This window comes from Homo sapiens, chromosome 4 (assembly GCF_000001405.40).
Source record: "Homo sapiens chromosome 4, GRCh38.p14 Primary Assembly".
Classification (NCBI taxonomy): domain Eukaryota; kingdom Metazoa; phylum Chordata; class Mammalia; order Primates; family Hominidae; genus Homo; species Homo sapiens.
In genome coordinates, this window is record NC_000004.12 from 157,146,537 (window position 1) to 157,165,349 (window position 18,813).

Genomic DNA, 18,813 nt, shown 5'->3' on the forward strand with positions numbered 1-18,813 from the left:
GGCTGAGAGCAGTGGCTCACCCCTGTAATCCCAGCACTTTGGGAGGCAAAGGTGGGCAAATCACCTGAGGTCAGGAGTTGGAGACCAGCCTTGCCAACATGGTAAAACCCCGTCTCTACCAAAAATGCAAAAAATTAGCCAGGCATGGTGGTGGACACCTGTAACCCCAGTTACTCGGGAGGCTGAGGACTGAGAAATTGCTTGAACCTGGGTCTCAGAGGTTGCAATGAGCTGAGATTGCACTACTGCACTCCAGCCTGGGCAACAGAGTGAGACTCCATCCCCCACCTCCCCCCGCAAAAAAAAAAATTAGATGATGGGTGGTAGTGAAGGTTGAGATAAAAGGTATTTGTAGGTATCTTGAATGTGAGATTAAAGAAAGTAGAATCAGGGTTAACTTCAAGATTATTTTGGATGAAAAACTAGAAATATGAAATTGACCTTAGCCGAGATGGGCAAAGGTGCAAGTAAATACAGTGGCTTTGAGAAGATGGGCAGGCCAGGAGCTTTGCTTTAGACACGTTAAGGTTCCAATGTCAGTTAGGTGGAGATATCAGATAGGCAGTTGGATATGCAAGTCTGGGTTTAATTGGAAATTTCAAAACTGGAGTAGGAATTTAAACTTTGTCAAAATATAGTTGGTTTTCAATCTCTGGTTGGAATCACAGGGGAGTGAGCGTAAGCAGAGAAATCTAAGAGGGACTGAGAAAATGAGGAACAACCAGTATGATGCAGTTTCCTAAAAGTCAAGTGAACAAAGTATTTCTAGGTCAAGAAAGTGACCAACCAACTGTTCATGGATCAATGACTTTTAGAGCTAAAGATTACCATTAGACTAAAGGAGCTGGGGAGGTCATTGGTGTCCATGGACAGTTTCTTTGAAGTGAGAAGAAGAAAGCCTGATTGGACTGGCTTCAGGAAAGAAGATGAGGGGGGGATTGGAGATATTTAGTATACATAACTCATTGGAGGTTGTTAACTATAAAAAGAAAAAGAATAAGAAAATAGCTAGGGTAAGAATAAAAGTCAAGAAAGTGTTTTTCATTTTTTAAAGGTAGATGAATTCATAGTATGTTTAGTTTGTTTTTGATGAAGGACAACCAGTAGTGAAGGAAAAACTGAGAGATGGAAAAAGTGCAGGAGCAGTGACCTTGAGAAAGGAAGAGGGGATGAGATCCAGGAAATGGAGATATTGCCCTTTGCTAGGAGCAAAATGCATTTGCCCCAAAGGTAAGCAAACTCCTGTAGAAGGCCAGAGAGTAGAATCAGGGTTGACTTCAACAAAGTCAATGAACCTTCATTTGAGGTTTGTGGGCCATATGCTTTCTGTCATTCCGTTAAACTCTGCTCTTACCTGTTCTATGGTAAAGCAGCCATAGACAATATATAACTGAACGAGTATGGATGTGTTAAACAAAACTTTATTTATAAAATAGATGGGTCAGATTGGCCTACAGGTCATAGTTTGCTGATCCCTGGTCCATAGTATCAGAAGAGAAGGCAGAGTATATGGACACAAAGGGAGGTAGATGGGTAGATATTTAAACAGTTGTGTGGGCTACCTCCTCTTATTTGGTGAATTATACCAATTGATTTCTAGATGTTAGATGAGTTGTGAATTACTAGAACAAAAAGTGTTCGTAGTACTCCCTTTTCCTTTTAATGTTAGGCTGTAGTAGTAATGTTCCATCTTTCATTCCTGATATTATTAAATAGTGAATTTTCTGTTTATTTTCTTGATCACTCAAGCTAAAGGATTTTTTATTTTATCGATATTTTCAAAGCACCAGCTTTTATCTCATTAATTTTCTCTATTTGTTTATTTTCCTTTTTATTGATTTTTAGCTATGTTTATTATTTCCTTTCTACTTACTTTGCATTTAATTTGATCTCTTTGTAATTGCTGAAAGTAGGACTCAGACAATTGGTTTTAGATCTTTCTCCTTTTCTAACATGAACATTTACAGTTGTAAATTTCTCTGTAAGCATTGCTTTAACTTCAGTACACAAATTTTGGTATATTGTATTTTCATCTTTCAGTTGAAATATTTCATAACTTATCTTTGATTTCTTCTTTGGCCCATGGATTCTTTAGAAATGTAGAGTTTTTTATGGGTACCTGAATATGATTGCTTTCTAACTTAATTCCATCTTTGTCAGAGAATATACTCACGGATTTCAATTCTTTTATGTGTGTTGAGATTTTTTTTAAACAGCCCATTCTAGCATATGCCTCCTGGTAAACACCATGTGCACGTGCAGTGTGTATTAGTCATTGTTTGTTGTGTTCTGTAAGTATCATTACCGTCAAGTTGGTTAGTAGCTCTGTTGAAATCTTTTATCTCTTTTGTGTGGTTATTGTTATTGGTGAGAGATGTTAAGATCTCCAATTATAATTATGGAATTACGCTGCAGGTATTTGGAAGGTCTGTTATTAGACCCTAAATTATAATTTTATCTAAAAAGAAAAGGAAATAATACTGACTCAGACTAAATTTCAGGATATCCAGTTAATATAGCTGTTTTGATTCTGCATATCTTTCCTTACTCTACTATTTTTCCCCTACATTCTCCCAAAGGATTAAATAAATAAGTTTACCAGTCTCTTTTGTTATGGCCTGTAGTTTTTATGTTCTAAAAGTTAGCAGACAACATAGAGCATAAAGTAATTACTTTAAATTGCCCTAGATTCATTTTGCTTTTTTAAAAAATTAGTTTTGTATTCTACTTTTATTTTTCACCCAGCCTTTTTGTGATTAACTTTCCCCATTGTTAACAAATATCAAAGATTCCCTGGAGAATTTTAGGTAAGGACTTTTGTCTTAAGCTATTTCGCCAAGTATGGAAGGAACTATGCACAGAACTATTGAAGTAACGTTTTGTAATACTCTTAACTAAGTAAACTATACTGTATCTTTTTCTGTTACACAAAATACTTTAGTTTCTGCTAAAGGGAATACTTTTTTTAACAAATAACTTTCAATTATAAATGCAAAAAGATTAATAATTTGGGTCAAAGTTCCCTTTCCTTTTAGTATTCTTTAACTAAAAATTATGAAATGATAATATGCTAATATAATTTATTAATAGTAGTACTTTTAAATGAATTTTCATTTTATTAACAACAATTTCAAATGTACAAATTTGGTGATTATCACAGTATGAGATAAATTATTTGGAGTTGAGACAGGAGTTGGCATGTGTGCACTTGCAATTGCTCCTTGACCTGCTCTGTTGATTCATGGCATTGGTTATTAATAGCAAATGCCATACTGTCTCTGCCTTCCATTTCTTTTCTTTTCCTTTCTTTCTTCCTCTCTTTTCTTTCCTTATTTTTTCTTCTCTTTTCTTTTTCTAGTTTTCAATTTTTCTCTTTTCACCAATACATTCCTAGTATATATGCTGTTAGGGAATTATTTTGCGGATTCTTCCTCTGTGATTGGATGGACAAGAAATCTGTGGACATTCCATAGACAATCATAGAGGTTACTGTATATATCTTGAAAAATTGAGATGATTTTGTCATTATACAATTCTGTCTCCATGTTGATGAGCTAAATAACTTCAACCCTGACTTGTTTATGGAAGATTTTGCTCACTTCAACCTCCTTATATAGCTTATTTGATATATGCTATATAAGGCTATATTATGATAATGCTAAAGTATTTTTACAAAGTAGCATTATTTGCTCAGATTTCTTATTTTTAGCTAGAAAATGCTAATAGGTGTTTTCTATTATAATACGATTTTCCAAAGATAAGGCACATAGTGTGTGTTCACTTTCTTCTTCTTAACTTCTTCAACTTTCCTTCTTATATCTGATATGATAAAAGTCTTGAATTCACTACCATTGTTTCTAACCGAATGTGTGGAATTATGAATACTCCCCTTTTCCCTCCAAAATCTATAAATATTCTGTCACACCTTTTAAAGACAATCCTTTCATCTGTTTCTTCAATCAGTCCCCCTTTTCTGACACCAAAACATCTTTACCTCACAAAGTCCTCTCTCTTTTCAGACATCTATTTGAATGATATTGGCTAATCTTTTCAAAAAGTTCTTTCAGATTCTCAGGTGCAATGTGCTGTGTCATGATCATCGGTTCTTTGTTCCTTGGCCTTTATCTAATCTTTCAATGTTTTCCTGACAAAGTCATCTTCTTTTCTATAGGCCCCTTCCCCATCTTTTTTACGGAAATTCTTCCAGTCATCCTGTTCATAACTTTGTCTCAATTTTTTCCTTCTTCCTTGAATCAGTAACTGTTTTCAAATGTTTTCTCTGCTTTTTTTCACATCTGTCCTATCATAACGTAGGCCTTCATTTCCTTATACTTTGTTTCCCCAACTACTAATTTTCTTTCTCAGTCTATTTTGTATATCCACACCAAAGTAATGCTACTTAAGTATTCTTTTGATAATGTAATTTCTCTTTCCTTAATTCCAAATTTCTGAATATTCTCTACCAAACATGGTATAAAAAGCCACTACAGAACTCTGAAGGCCTTCTATAATCTGAAATTATTCTCTATTTCATCATAAAGTTTCTAATCTATCAGGATAAATATTCAGGTATACAGCTAAGCTTACTAAAATTTAATATCTTCTAGGTTATTAATCAGCATGAAATACTATGGAAACAGAGAGGATAGTGTCAAAATAGTTTATCTCAAGGAAATAAGTTAGGCTTGTTTTTGATTGGTAATTTGACTCACAAAATTTGGCAAAGAATAGAAAAATTAACTTAGAATGACAGTTTGCCAAGTTAATTCCCATGGCTATAATCAACTGTAGTTTAGGGCAGTAATTGATAAGGTCTTGGATTTTTATGTTACTTTCCACTTTTGACCACAGTTTGATTGCACTGTGGTCTGAGAGACAGTTAATGTAAGACCTACATTAACTTTTAAAATACAATTCTCTTAATTAGTTTTTAGTTTTCCTTAGGGCCGAGGATAATTATTGTAAAAGTAAACTAGGAGCTTATCAAGTTGTTATATATTGAATATTGTTTTCATCTGCAGAAGTTATATTTGCTTAACGTGTTTCCTTCTAATAGAGAGTATCTTAGGTTCTTGAATGCAAAAAACACTTTTCAGAAGCTTCTGAAATGATGCAATTGATATATTTTTCAATGTTTAACTGATTATTAATACTAATATAGTGTTTGTAATTTCATGGGAAGGGAAAAGAGAGCCAAGTAGACATTTAATTATTATGGTGATATATATACATTAATTCTCATAAGTGGCCAAATCTAAGAAGAAAAAATTATACTCAACCCAGTATGTGAGATGGACTCACAGAGCCAAGTCAGATCTGTTTTCTATTTCAAGTAAAGTGAGTCTCCCTTGACACTGAATGAGGTTCCTTTTCTGACTCAGCATGTTCCTGGTAGCCCATGCCAATAGGTTATAGCTATAAAATATATTTCATCATCTTCTCTCTTGAAAATACGAAGGAAAGGAAAAAGAGAGAGGAATGGCAGGGAGAGTGGCAATTGGGAAGAGAAAGAGAGCAATAAATTATTGCAATTCTTCTTTGGAGTCTGACAATTACTTGACTTAAATTAGTGTATAATGTGTTAGCTTTCATTGAAGGGTTACCATTACATGGAGCAGACCTTCATACCTTTCTTTGGAAATCTGGAATCATATGTTCTCCCTAAACAGGAATATTTCCTGCTGTGTCTTTTCTATTAGTTTTTTTTATTATGAACCTTATCAAAACATTGCTTTATATGTTCTGTTCTTGCTCTGATTTAGTTGCTCATGGGGACAAAACTCAGCTCTATAACTGAAATCTTTCTCAAACAAAGCTGAAAAATAACATACATAATCTGTCTCATAAGAGAGCTCTGTGGCTTCCTCAGAGATACTATACAATAGTTTTAGCCATCTTTAATATTGAAAACAGGTCCAAATTATATTTTTATACCCTGGTTTAAATTTCTATTTATTTTTTAAAATCCTAAGTATTTACAAAATCCTCAACCATAGTCAATAGTCCTTACAGAAAAGGCATGTACCTATTATTTATTCTAGTCTTTGAGCTTTAAGGGGACCTGACAAATTGTTCATGGGTCATTGGAAGTTACTGGAGACGGATTTAGTCAAAGAGTAATGACCCCAGAACATCTCATAGGGATAAAAAGCAACTTTCATTCCTCTTTCTGTTTCTGTAGGTATCTTCTCAGTCCTCAGCTTGGCCTCTGAGTGCACAACCCTTGCCGCTGAGCTTCCCAAAGTTTCCTATGTGAAGGCTCTTGATGTTTGGCTTATTGCTTGCCTTCTCTTTGGGTTTGCTTCCCTGGTGGAGTATGCAGTTGTCCAGGTGATGCTGAACAACCCCAAAAGGGTTGAAGCTGAAAAAGCCAGAATTGCTAAGGCTGAGCAAGCAGATGGAAAAGGTGGAAATGTGGCTAAAAAGAATACTGTGAATGGAACAGGGACTCCTGTTCATATTAGCACTTTGCAGGTAAGGATAAAATTATGCCATGAAATCATTTCCCCCAACCACTTCATAGTGTCAAGAGAGAGACACCTTTGTGTATGTGACAAGTTTTGATGGAATTGGCATTTGCTTGTTTTTCTCTCACAGATGAAAACAAACTGAGCACAACACAATTTTTGGGAAACGTGCTTTTTAGAAAACATTCAGAACGTTTAGGTCGAATACCACTTAAGGAAAAAAGTAATGCCTTATTAAATTTTTTGAGGACTTTGCACTGAGTTTAAGGATTCAACTCTGCTTTGATGGTCACCATTGAATTTGGAGACCTTGCTGGATGGAGCACAGACCTTCCTATTGTTTCTCATTCAATGTATCTTAATGAAAGGCCCGAGGACTGTGGGGCATCACTGATCATCTGCCTTACATAAAAAGGCTTGGAGAAGCCCATGCTCATGATTAAATCACCCACCATTCCCCATTACATTAGAGAGCTTCACATGGAGCATGTCAGGCAGGCTACTTGTTTATTGGATGTCTGGCTCAGGGAAACGATGCCTGCAGTTAGGAATCTGTCCCTCCCAGCAGTGAGTGGCAGGAGAAGGAATATTTAAGATTTTACCCCATAACCCTGCCTTGTCAATTAATTATGGGTTTAAGAATAGTGGGCAATGGTAAATTTCAACGTGCCAGGCTGTGTAAAGGATTGAGGTTAGCTGTCCATTTACCCCAATGTGCCCCTCATTGATGCCTTCTGGATGGGTGGACCAGTCAACCAGAAGACCATTTCCATTGAGCTAAGAGCAGTAAATTCCACAGAAGACCAATAGGTCCATTCCATCCTACAACCTTGAAAATCTTACCTTCCGTGCTTTTCCTCTGGTCCCACAATTGCTCTATCAGTTTGTTAATCACCACTAGTCCCCTCACCTAGAATGCTAGACTAGTATACCGCATGCGGTTCTTAGATGCAGAAGCAAAGGAACCATGCTTGTATGGTGCTGCCTGTGGCCTTTAAAAAATGGTTTAAGTCATTTATACTCATTTTCTGAGCCTAAAGCCAAGACCCTCTGCAAATACTTAGCTGAAACCTTCAGGGAGGCTTCTTGAGGCCTTAGAACTCTTTTCTGCCTTTCATGAAGAATAAGGATAAAATTTGCATTAATCCAGCACTATCTTGGCCTTAAAGATGTCCTTAATATATCTTTTTCATACTTCTACATCCATTATTTCTATATCATTATATTTGAAGTGAGTTTCTTGTAGACAACATATAGTTGGTGTTTGGTATTTAAACTGCTCTGCCATTCTCTTATGTTTGAATTGGTATATTTAGATCACTTCCATTTAACGTAATTATTGATATAGTAAGGTTTTCTCTATGTTTTATTTTTCTTTGTTTTGTTTATTTTGGTTTTTGTTTCTCTATCTTCTTTTTCCTTTTTTTTTTTTTTTTTTTTTGAGATGGAGTTTCACTCTTGTTGCCCAGGCTGGAGTGCAATGGCGTGATCTCGGCTCACCGCAACATCTGCCTCTCAGGTTCAAACGATTCTCCTGCCTCAGCCTCCCGAGTAACTGGGATTACAGGCACCTGCCACCATGTCTGGCTAATTTTGTATTTTCAGTAGAGATGGGGTTTCTTCATGTTGGTCAGGTTGGTCTTGAACTCCTGACCTCAGGTGATCCGCCCACATTGGCCTCCCAAAGTGCTGGGATTACAGGCATGAGCCACTGCACTTGGCCCTCTTTTTCCTTTTTTAATGTGGGTTACTTGAACATTTTTTTAGAATTTCATTTTGAGCTTTCTATGTTGTTTTTAAGTGTATCTCTTTGTTTAACTTCTTTAGTGGTTGGTCTGGATAAGTTATGCATGCATAACATCACGATCTACTAGTGTCATTATTTTGCTAGCTTTTGTGATGTTTAAAAATGTTACCTCTCTTTCATCCCTTAAGCTGATGTTTATAATTGTCTTAAATACTTCTGCATACATTTAGAGCCACATTATAGTTTTTGCATCACCATCAAATATAATTTAGAAAACTCAAGGAGAAGAAAATGTTATTGTATATTTTTGCTATGTTTTTCTTTCATCTTCATATATTCCAAGGTTATATCTCTTTTATTATTTTCTGTTTAGAGAATTTCCTTGTTTTTTGTTTTTGAGGCAGAGTCTCACTCTGTCACCCAGGCTGGGGTGCAGTGGTGTGATCTCAGCTCATGCAACCTCCACCTCCTGGATTCAAGCAATCCTCCCACCTAAGCCTCCCAATTAGTTAGGACCACAGGTGTGTGCCACACCACACTTGGCTAAGTTTTATATTTTTAGTAGAGACAGGGTTTCCTCATGTTGGCCAGACTGGTCTCAAATTCCTGGCCTCAAGTGATCCACCTGCTTCAGCCTCCCAAAAGTGCTGGGAATACAGGCATGAACCACCATGCCTTTTCGGGAATTTCCTTTACCCATTTTTGGATAGGTCTGCAGGTGACACATTTTTTTCACTTTCCCTTTATCTGAGAATGTCTTGATTTCTCCTTCATTGTTGAAGGATATTTTCTCTAGATGTAGGATTGTAAGGTTACAATTCTATATGCATTTCTTTTAGCGCCTAAAAAGTATTGTGTTCACTTCCTTCTGGCCTCCATGGCTTCTGATGAAAACTAATTGTTCTAATTGCTTTTCCTCTGTAGGTAAAGTGTCACTTATCTCTGGATGCTTTCAAAAAGTTGTTTGGTCTTTTGGTCGAGTAGTGATCAGAAGTTTAATTATGACATGTCTCTGTGTGGATTTCTTTGAGTTGATCTTGTTTGGGATTTTTCTCAGCTTGTTGAAAATATAGATGTATGTTTCTTGCCAAATTTGGAGTTTTCAGCTATTATTTCTTTGTGTACTTTTCCTGCCTTGCCCTCTCTCTTCTCTTTTCAAGACTGCGATAACACAAATGCTAGATTTGTGATAGAATTGTCCCTGGGTACTGTAGGAGACTGGTTTTAGGACTCTTATCAGATACCAAGGTCTGCTAATGCTCAAGTCCCTTGTATAAAATGTGAAACTTGGACATTTATTAATTTTGCTTATGATTGCTTTGGCTATTCAGGCTCTTTTTTAGTTCCGTATGAGTTTTAGGATTGTTTTCTCTAATTCTGTGAAAAATGATGTTGGTGTTTTGATAGAAATTACATTGAATCTATAGATTGCTTTGGGCAGTATGGTCATTTTCATGATATTGATTATTCCAATCCATGAGTATGGGATGTGTTTCCATTTGTTTGTTTAAGGTTATTCTAATTTTTTTGCTGCTTTGTAAGAGAAATTGAGTTCTTAATTTGATTCTCAACTTGGTCATTGTTGGTGTATAGCAGTACTACTGATTTGTGTACATTGATTTTGTAACTTTTGTACATTGATTTTGTAGACTTTACTGAATTCGTTTATCAAATCTAGGAGTCTTTTGGAGGAGTCTCTAGGGCTTTCTAGGTACACAGTCACATCATTGTTGAACAGCAATAATCTGACTTCCTCTTTTCTAATTCAGACGCCCTTTATTTCTTTCTCTTACCTGGTTGCCCTGGCTGGGACTTCTTGGACAATGTCTTCTGTTATCTGCCAGTACACTGATTTTTTTCCTCTGCCCTTTACATTTTCCTGTTGATCTAATCTATGAGTTTTACAGTTTCCATTTGGTATGTGTGTATTTTTTTCATTTGTTCCAATCATGTTCATAATTGGTCACTGAATAATTTTTATCATGAATGTTGTAATATCTTTCTCAGATTTCTCAGAATTCTCAGATTGTTGTTGCACAGTTTGAAATCTTTTGTTATACAGTTTGAGATCTTTCCCAGTTTTTTGTATGATGAGTGATTTTGTATTGAAACTTGGACATTTTGATATTATATTATGAGACTCCAAATCGTGTTTAAGCCTTCTGTTTTAACTTGCTTTCTCTGGCTCTGTTCTGTCAGGGGAAGGATGAGTGCTGCTTCATTACTTCCAAGCGGAGGTACAAGTCCAGGTTTCCCACTTCGTCAGGGTAGAGCTCCTTGATACTGCTGGGCGAGATTGGGGGTCACCAGTTCCCCATGTTGTCTCTACCAACACAGCAGCAGGGGTTGCCTTCCTGACCAATTGGTGTTGGTGAAAGTCCTGACCCTCCAGGGCCCCCTGTGACATCACCTCAGCGTGGAAGAGGAGGAGCCTCTTGTTACTGCTGGGTGTAGGTTTAAGTCCATACTCCCTACATAGTTTCCACAGACACTATGGCAGGGATCAGGGCCTTGTTACTGGTCTACAGTGATGGAAGTCCTCAATCACCACTTGACACTATACTTCAGTGTGGATCGGGCTGCCTCGTCACAGACTTTTAATTATTACACTTTAAATTCTAGGGTACATGTGCACAATGTGCAGGTTTGTTACATATGTATACATGTGCCATGTTGGTGTGCTGCACCCCTTAACTCATCATTTACATTAGGTAGATCTCCTAATGCTATCCCTCCCCGCTCCCCCCACCCCACGACAGGCCCTGGTGTGTGACATTCCCTACCCTGTGTCCAAGTGATCTCATTGTTCAATTCCCACCTATGAGTGAGAACATGCTGTGTTTGGTGTTCTGTCTTTGCGATAGTTTGCTCAGAATGATTGTTTCCAGCTTCATCCGTGTCCCTACATAGGACATGAACTCATCCTTTTTATGGCTGCATAGTATTCCATGGTGTATGTGTGCCACATTTTCTTAATCCAGTCTATCATTGATGGACATATGGGTTGGTTCCAAGTCTTTGCTAATGTGAATAGTGCCGCAATAAACATATGTGTGCATGTGTCTTTATAGCAACATGATTTATAATCCTTTAGATATATGCCCAGTAATGAGATGGCTGGGTCAAATGGCATTTCTAGTTCTAGATCCTTGAGGAATTGCCACACTGTCTTCTACAATGGTTGAAATAGTTACAGTCCCACCAACAGTGTAAAAGCATTCCTATTTCTCCACATCCTCTCCAGCACCTGTTGTTTCCTGACTTTAATGATCACCATTCTAACTGGTGTGAAATGGTATCTCATTTTGGTTTTGATTTGCATTTCTCTGATGATCAGTTATGATGAGCATTTTTTCATGTGTCTGTTGGCTGCATAAATGTCTTCTTTTAAGAAGTGTCTGTTCATATCCTTTGCCCACTTTTTGATGGGTTTTTTTTTCTTGTAAATTTGTTTAAGTTCTTTGTAGATCCCGGATATTAGCCCTTTGTCAGATGGGTAGATTGTAAAAATTTTCTCCCATTCTGTAGGTTGCCTGTTCACTCTGATGGTGGTTTCTTTTGCTGTGCAGAAGCTCTTTAGTTTAATTAGATCCCATTTGTCAATTTTGGCTTTTGTTGCCATTGCTTTTGGCGTTTTAGTCATGAAGTCCTTGCTCGTGCCTATGTCCTGAATGGTATTGCCTAGGTTTTCTTCTAGAGTTTTTATGATTTTAGGTCTAACATTTAAGTCTTTAATCCATCTTGAATTAATTTTTGTATAAGGTGTAAGGAAGGGATCCAGTTTCAGCTTTCCACATGTGGCTAGCCAGTTTTCCCAGCACCATTTATTAAATAGAGATTCATTTCCTTATTTCTTGTTTTTGTCAGGTTTGTCAAAGATCAGATGGTTGTAGATGTGTGGTATTATTTCCAAGGGCTCTATTCTGTTCTGTTGGTCTATATCTCTGTTTTGGTACCAGTACCATGCTGTTTTGGTTACTGTAGCCTTGTAGTAGAGTTTAAAGTCAGGTAGCGTGATGCCTCCAGCTTTGTTCTTTTTGCTTAGGATTGTCTTGGCAATGCGGGCTCTTTTTAGGTTCCATATGAACTTTAAAGTAGTTTTTTCCAATTCTATGAAGAAAGTCATTGTTAGCTTGATGGGATGGCATTGAATCTATAAATTACTTTGGGCAGTATAGCCATTTTCACGATATTGATTCTTCCTATCCATGAGCATGGAATGTTCTTCCATTTGTTTGTGTCCTCTTTTATTTCGTTGAGCAGTAGTTCGTAGTTCTCCTTGAAGAGGTCCTCCACATCCCTTGTAAGTTGGATTCCTAGGTATTTTATTCTCTTTGAAGCAATCATGAATGGGAGTTCGCTCATGATTTGGCTCTCTGTTTTTCTGTTATTGGTGTATAGGAATGCTTGTGATTTTTGCACGTAGATTTTGTATCCTGAGACTTTGCTGAAGTTGCTTATCAGCTTAAGGAGATTTTGGGTTGAGACAATGGGGTTTTCTAAATATACAATCATGTCATCTGCAAACAGGGACAACTTGACTTCCTCTTTTCCTAATTGAATACCTTTTATTTCTTTCTCCTGCTTGATTGCCTTGGCCAGAACTTCCAACACTATGTTGAATAGGAATGCTAAGAGAGGGCATCCCTGTCTTGTGCCAGTTTTCAAAGGGAATGCTTCCAGTTTTTGCCCATTGAGTATGATATTGGGCTGTGGGTTTGTCATAAATAGCTCTTATTATTTTGAGATATGTCCCATCAATACCTAATTTATTGAGAGTTTTTAGCATGAAGGGCTGTTGAATTTTGTGGAAGGCCTTTTCTGCATCTATTGAGATAATCATCTGGTTTTTGTCTTTGGTTCTGTTTATAGGATGGGTTACATTTATTGATTTGCATATGTTGAACCAGCCTTGCATCCCAGGGATGAGGCCAATGTGATCATGGTGGATAACCTTTTTGATGTGCTGCTGGATTCGGTTTGCCAGTATTTTATTGAGGATTTTGGCATTGATGTTCATCCGGGATATTCATCTAAAATTCTCTTTTTTTGTTGTGGCTCTGCCAGGCTTTGGTATCAGGATGATGTTGGCCTCATTAAATGAATTAGGGAGGATTCCCTCTTTTTCTGTTGATTGGAATAGTTTCAGAAGGAATGGTACCAACTCCTCTTTGTACCTCTGGTAGAATTTGGCTGTGAATCCATCTGGTCCTGGACTTTTTTTGGTTGGTAGGCTATTAATTATTGCCTCAATTTCAGAATCTGCTATTGATCTATTCAGGGATTCAACTTCTTTCTGGTTTAGCCTTGGGAGGGTGTGTGTGTCGAGGAATTTATCCATTTCTTCTAGATTTTCTAGTTTATTTGTGTAGAGGTGTTTATAGTATTCTCTGATGGTAGTTTGTATTTCTGCGGGATCGGTGGTGATATACCCTTTATCACTTTTTATCGCATCTGCTTGATTCTTCTCTCTTTTCTTCTTTATTAGTCTTGCTAGTGGTCTATCGATTTTTTTCATCTTTTCAAAAAACCAGCTCCTAGATTCATTGATTTTTGAAGGGCTTTTTGTGCCTCTGTCTCCTTCAGTTCTGCTGTGATCTTAGTTATGTCTTGCCTTCTGCTAGCTTTTGAATGTTTTTGCTCTTGCTTCTCTAGTTCTTTTAACTGTGATGTTAGGGTGTCAATTTTAGGTCTTCCTGCTTTATCTTGTGGGCATTTAGTGCTATAAATTTCCCTCTACACACTGCTTTAAATGTGTCCCAGAGATTCTGGTATGTTGTGTCTTTGTTCTCGTTGGTTTCAAAGAACATCTTTATTTCTGCCTTCATTTCGTTATGTATCCAGTAGTCACTCAGGAGCAGGTTGTTCAGTTTCCATGTAGTTGAGCGGTTTTGAGTGAGTTTCTTAATCCTGAGTTCTAGTTTGATTGCACTGTGGTCTGAGAGACAGTTTGTTATAATTTCTGTTCTTTTACATTTGCTGAGGAGTGCTTTACTTCCAACTATGTGGTCAATTTTGGAATAAGTGTGATGTGGTGCTGAGAAGAATGTATACTCTGTTGATTTGGGGTGGGGAGTTCTGTAGCTGTCTATTAGGCCCACTTGGTGCAGAGCTGAGTTCAATTCCTGGATATCTTTGTTATCTTTCTGTGTCGTTGATCTGTCTAATGTTGACAGTGGGGTGTTAAAGTCTCCCATTCTTATTATGTGGGAGTCTAAGTCTCTTTGTAGGTCTCTAAAGACTTGCTTTATGAATCTGGGTGCTCCTGTATCGGGTGCCTATATATTCAGGATAGTTAGCTCTTCTTGTTGAATTGATCCCTTTACCATTATGTAATGGCCTTCTTTGTCTCTTTTGATCTTTGTTGGTTTAAGTCTGTTTTATCAGAGACTATGATTGCAACTTCTGCTTTTTTGGTTTTCCATTTGCTTGGTGGATCTTCCTCCTTCCCTTTATTTTGAGCCTATGTGTGTCTCTGCACATGAGATGGGTCTCCTGAATACAGCACACTGATGGGTCTTGACTCTTTATCCAATTTACCAGTCTGTGTCTTTTAATTGGAGCATTTAGCCCATTTACATTTAAGGTTAATATTGTTATGTGTGAATTTGATCCTGTCATTATGAAGTTAGCTGGTTGTTTTGCTCATTAGCTGATGCAGTTTCTTCCTGGCATTGATGGTCTTTACAATTCAGCATGTTTTTGCAGTGGCTGGTACAGGTTGTTCCTTTCCATGTTTAGTGCTTCCTTCAGGAGCTCTTTTAGGGCAGGCCTGGTGGTGACAAAATCTCTCAGCATTTGCTTGTCTGTAAAGGATTTTATTTCTCCTTCACTTATGAAGCTTAGTTTGGCTGGATATGAAATTCTGAGTTGAAAATTCTTCTCTTTAAGAATGTTGACTATTGGCCCCCACTCTCTTCTAGCTTGTAGAGTTTCTGCCAAGAGATCCGCTGTTAGTCTGATGGGCTTCCCTTTGTGGGTAATCTGACCTTTCTCTCTGGCTGCCCTTAACATTTTTTCCTTCATTTCAACTTTAGTGAATCTGACAATTATGTGTCTTGGAGTTGCTCTTCTCGTGGAGTATCTTTGTGGCATTCTCTGTATTTCCTGAATTTGAATGTTGGCCTGCCCTGCTAGGTTGGGGAAGTTCTCCTGGATAATATCCTGCAGAGTGTTTTCCAACTTGTTTCCATTCTCCCCGTTACTTTCAGGTACACCAGTCAGACGTAGATTTGGTCTTTTCACATAGTCCCATATTTCTTGGAGGCTTTGTTCATTTGTTTTTACTCTTTTTTATCTAAACTTCTCTTCTCGCTTCATTTCATTCATTTGATCTTCAATCACTGATACCCTTTCTTCCAGTTGATCAAATCGGCGACTGAAGCTTGTGAATGCATCACGTAGTTCTCGTGCCATGGTTTTCAGCTCCATCAGGTCATTTAAGGATTTCTCTACACTGTTTATTTCAGTTAACCATTCATCTCGTCTTTTTTCAAGGTTTTTAGTTTCTTTGCAATGGGTTTGAACATCCTCCTTTAGCTCAGAGAAGTTTATTACCACCAATCATCTGAAGCCTTCTTCTCTCAACTCGTCAAAGTCATTCTCCATCCAGCTTTGTTCCGTTGCTGGCGAGGAGCTGCATTTCTTTGGAGGAGAAGAGGAGCTCTGATTTTTAGAATTTTCAGCTTTTCTACTCTGGTTTCTCCCTATCTTTGTGGTTTTATCTACCTTTGTTCTTTGATGATGGTGACATACAGGTGCGGTTTTGGTGTGTATGTCCTTTCTGTTTGTTAGTTTTCCAACAGTCAGGACCCTCAGCTGCAGGTCTGTTGGAGTTTGCCGGAGGTCCACTCCAGCCCCTGTTTGCCTGGGTATCACCAGCGGAGGCTGCAGAGCAGCAAATATTGCAGAACAGCAAATGTTGCTGCCTGATCCTTCCTCTGGAGGGTTCGTCTCAGTGGGGCACCCGGCTGTATGAGGTGTCAGTTGGCCCCTACTGTGAGATGTCTCCCAGTTAGGCTACTCAGGAGTCAGGGACCCACTTGAGAAGGCAGTCTGTCCATTCTCAGATCTCAAACTCTGTGCTGGGAGAACCACTACTCTCTTCAAAGCTGTCAGACAGGGACATTTTAAGTCTGCAGAAGTTTGTGCTGCCTTTTGTTCAACTAGGCCTGCCCCCAGAGGTGGAGTCTAGAGAGGCAGGCAGGCCTCCTTGTGCTGTGGTGGGCTCCACCCAGTTTGAGCTTCTCAGCCACTTTGTTTACCTACTCAAGCTTCAGCAATGGCGGACACCCCTCCCCCAGCCTCGCTTCCACCTCGCAGTTCGATCTCAGACTGCTGTGCTAGCAGTGAGCGAGGCTCCGTGGGCATGGGACCCTCCGAGCCACGCATGGGATATAATTTCCTGGTGTGCCATTTGCTAAGACCGTTGGAAAAGCACAGTATTATGGTGGGAGTGTCCCGATTTTCCAGGTACCATCTGTCACAGCTTCCCTTTGCTAGGAAAGGGAATTCCCCAACCCCTTGCACTTCCCTGTGAGGCAGTGCCCCACCCTGCTCCATGGGCTGCACCGACAGTCAGACAAGCCCCAGTGAGATGAACCCGGTACCTCAGTTGGAAATGCAGAAATCACCCATCTTCTGCATCACTCACTCTGGGAGGGGTAGACTGGAGCTGTTCCTATTTGGCCATCTTGGAACCTATGATCATCACAGCCTTTTTAAAGTCCAAGCCTTGGCCCCCTCACCTCTTGGACATTGCTGGCATGTCCGTTGGGGTGGGGTGGGAGCACATTTTTTTCTGTAGTATTTGGCAAGAATAGAGAGGTTAATATCTAAAAGTGTTCTGTATTGCTGGGCTGCCCCTTTCTTTGTCTTCTGGCTAAACATCGGAGGCTGTTGGGGTTTTTATGTCTGTACCCATTGGCATTTCCACTTGCTGGCTTCTTTAGCTCCAAATCTGGGATTATATGAGACAAAAGGGGGAATGCAGGAACTCACCATTTTATGGTTCCTGGGATCCTGAGTCCCCAGGCTCATCTGCTTCCTCTTCTCTCCCTTTTATAGTCTGTCTGTGTGAGTGTGTGTGTGTGTGTGTGTGTGTTTTAATATAATGTCCAGGATTTTTTATTGAACTTAGCAGGAGGAATAGGAAAGGTATGTCTACTCTATCTTCCTGGATGTAGAAGTCCTCTATGCTTTTCGAGGCCCTCAGCATCCTCATCATACCTGCACCCTGCCTACCACACTCTAATAATTAAATAGATTTATCAATGGGCTACTCTTAACACTTTCATTGTTGTTGCTGTTCTGTCTACTGGGTCATTTCAGACTTACTAAAATCCTACACCAGGAAAACAAACATTTGGAGTAATTATTATTCCCTTTACCAGTATTTTTTTTTTTTGTCTCTGTTACCACCCAAGTCTAAGAAGCCACATAATATCCAGAAGAACTAAGGGATTGCTTAAGGGCATGCTTTGGCATGACGAAGAACTGGTATTGAAAGCATACTGTTTGTGAGAAACTGTGCTTCCCCTTCTAAAGCATACAGTTATTTCTCCAGGCCAGAAATGGAAGGAAGATTACCTGAGAGCCTTATGTTATGTGGAAGTGTTCTCTACCTGATTTTTTGACACTTGTTATCTACTCCTCGATTTACATCTCCCTATCTTTTACCACTTCCTCACATTTCCAGCCCACCAATCCCCTCTAACTTGACCTCTGGTTAAGAGATTTGGATACAGAAAGCAAGGATGCTCTATAGAACAGGTGCTTGATTCCTGGTAATCCCTACGATCAGCTCCATTGGCTGGTATATTATAGGTCCTCAATAAGCACAGGAATTAAATGTAGTAACAATACTAATAAGCAATTAAATTAAATTCTGTTACTACATTAAATTAAATGTAGTAACAGAATACTAATGTGCAATGATCCTGATACCTTAATCTATTCCATCAAGTAGGGGTACTGATAGAAGGAGGCTATCTAGAACCAGCTTTCTAGAGCATTGTAGAATACATTCAGATTATTTATGAACATGGATAGCAAGGATGAGAGGATCCATGAAGTAGTAAACCCAATTATGTTATTTTAAGTTTATCTTTAAAGCATTAAAATTAAAACTAATAATTAAAATAATTACCCAATAAATAAAAGTTAAACACATATAAGAACTTTTATATTTTAATTCTCTATGTTTTTAACTGCTCATAGAAACACACTTGTTTGAATTCTGAAACTGCTGTGACATTTTGCTTCAAAAGACAACGAGAGATGCATAGAGTTAAGAATTGACCAGAAATTTTAATCTTTAGAAATAAATGTAAATTACTTTTATTCTTTACAGGACAAAAATGCACTTTCCAGAATAAACTTTGTACCCATAGAATATTTGTTTCCTGAGACAGGCTTCAAAATGATAACATGAGTCTAATAATAACTTACATCAAATGTGTAACTTGATGAGTCATAAGATTTTACATATTGACATATGAAAGAAGATATAAAAGTAGAAATTTATAAATTATTATCTTTTTAATTCAATGGTTTTGCAATGAAAAATGTAATTAAACTTTTGGTTTCAAAATGCATTTT

At 38.1% G+C, this 18,813-nt stretch overlaps 1 protein-coding gene across 5 annotated transcripts in view; it reads left to right on the plus strand.

Annotated features, from left to right (window-relative positions):
* GLRB (glycine receptor beta) overlaps positions 1 to 18,813 on the plus strand; it is a 95,941-nt gene that overhangs the window by 70,387 nt on the left and 6,741 nt on the right. For 3 of the 5 annotated variants that reach the window (NM_001440545.1, NM_000824.5, NM_001166060.2), the window contains one exon: positions 6,182 to 6,474. The exons of the other annotated variants lie outside the window; for them this stretch is intronic. In NM_001440545.1, coding sequence (NP_001427474.1) covers positions 6,182 to 6,474 — 293 coding nt within the window. The remainder of the gene's footprint in view (positions 1 to 6,181; positions 6,475 to 18,813) is intronic. 5 annotated transcript variants of the gene reach the window in all.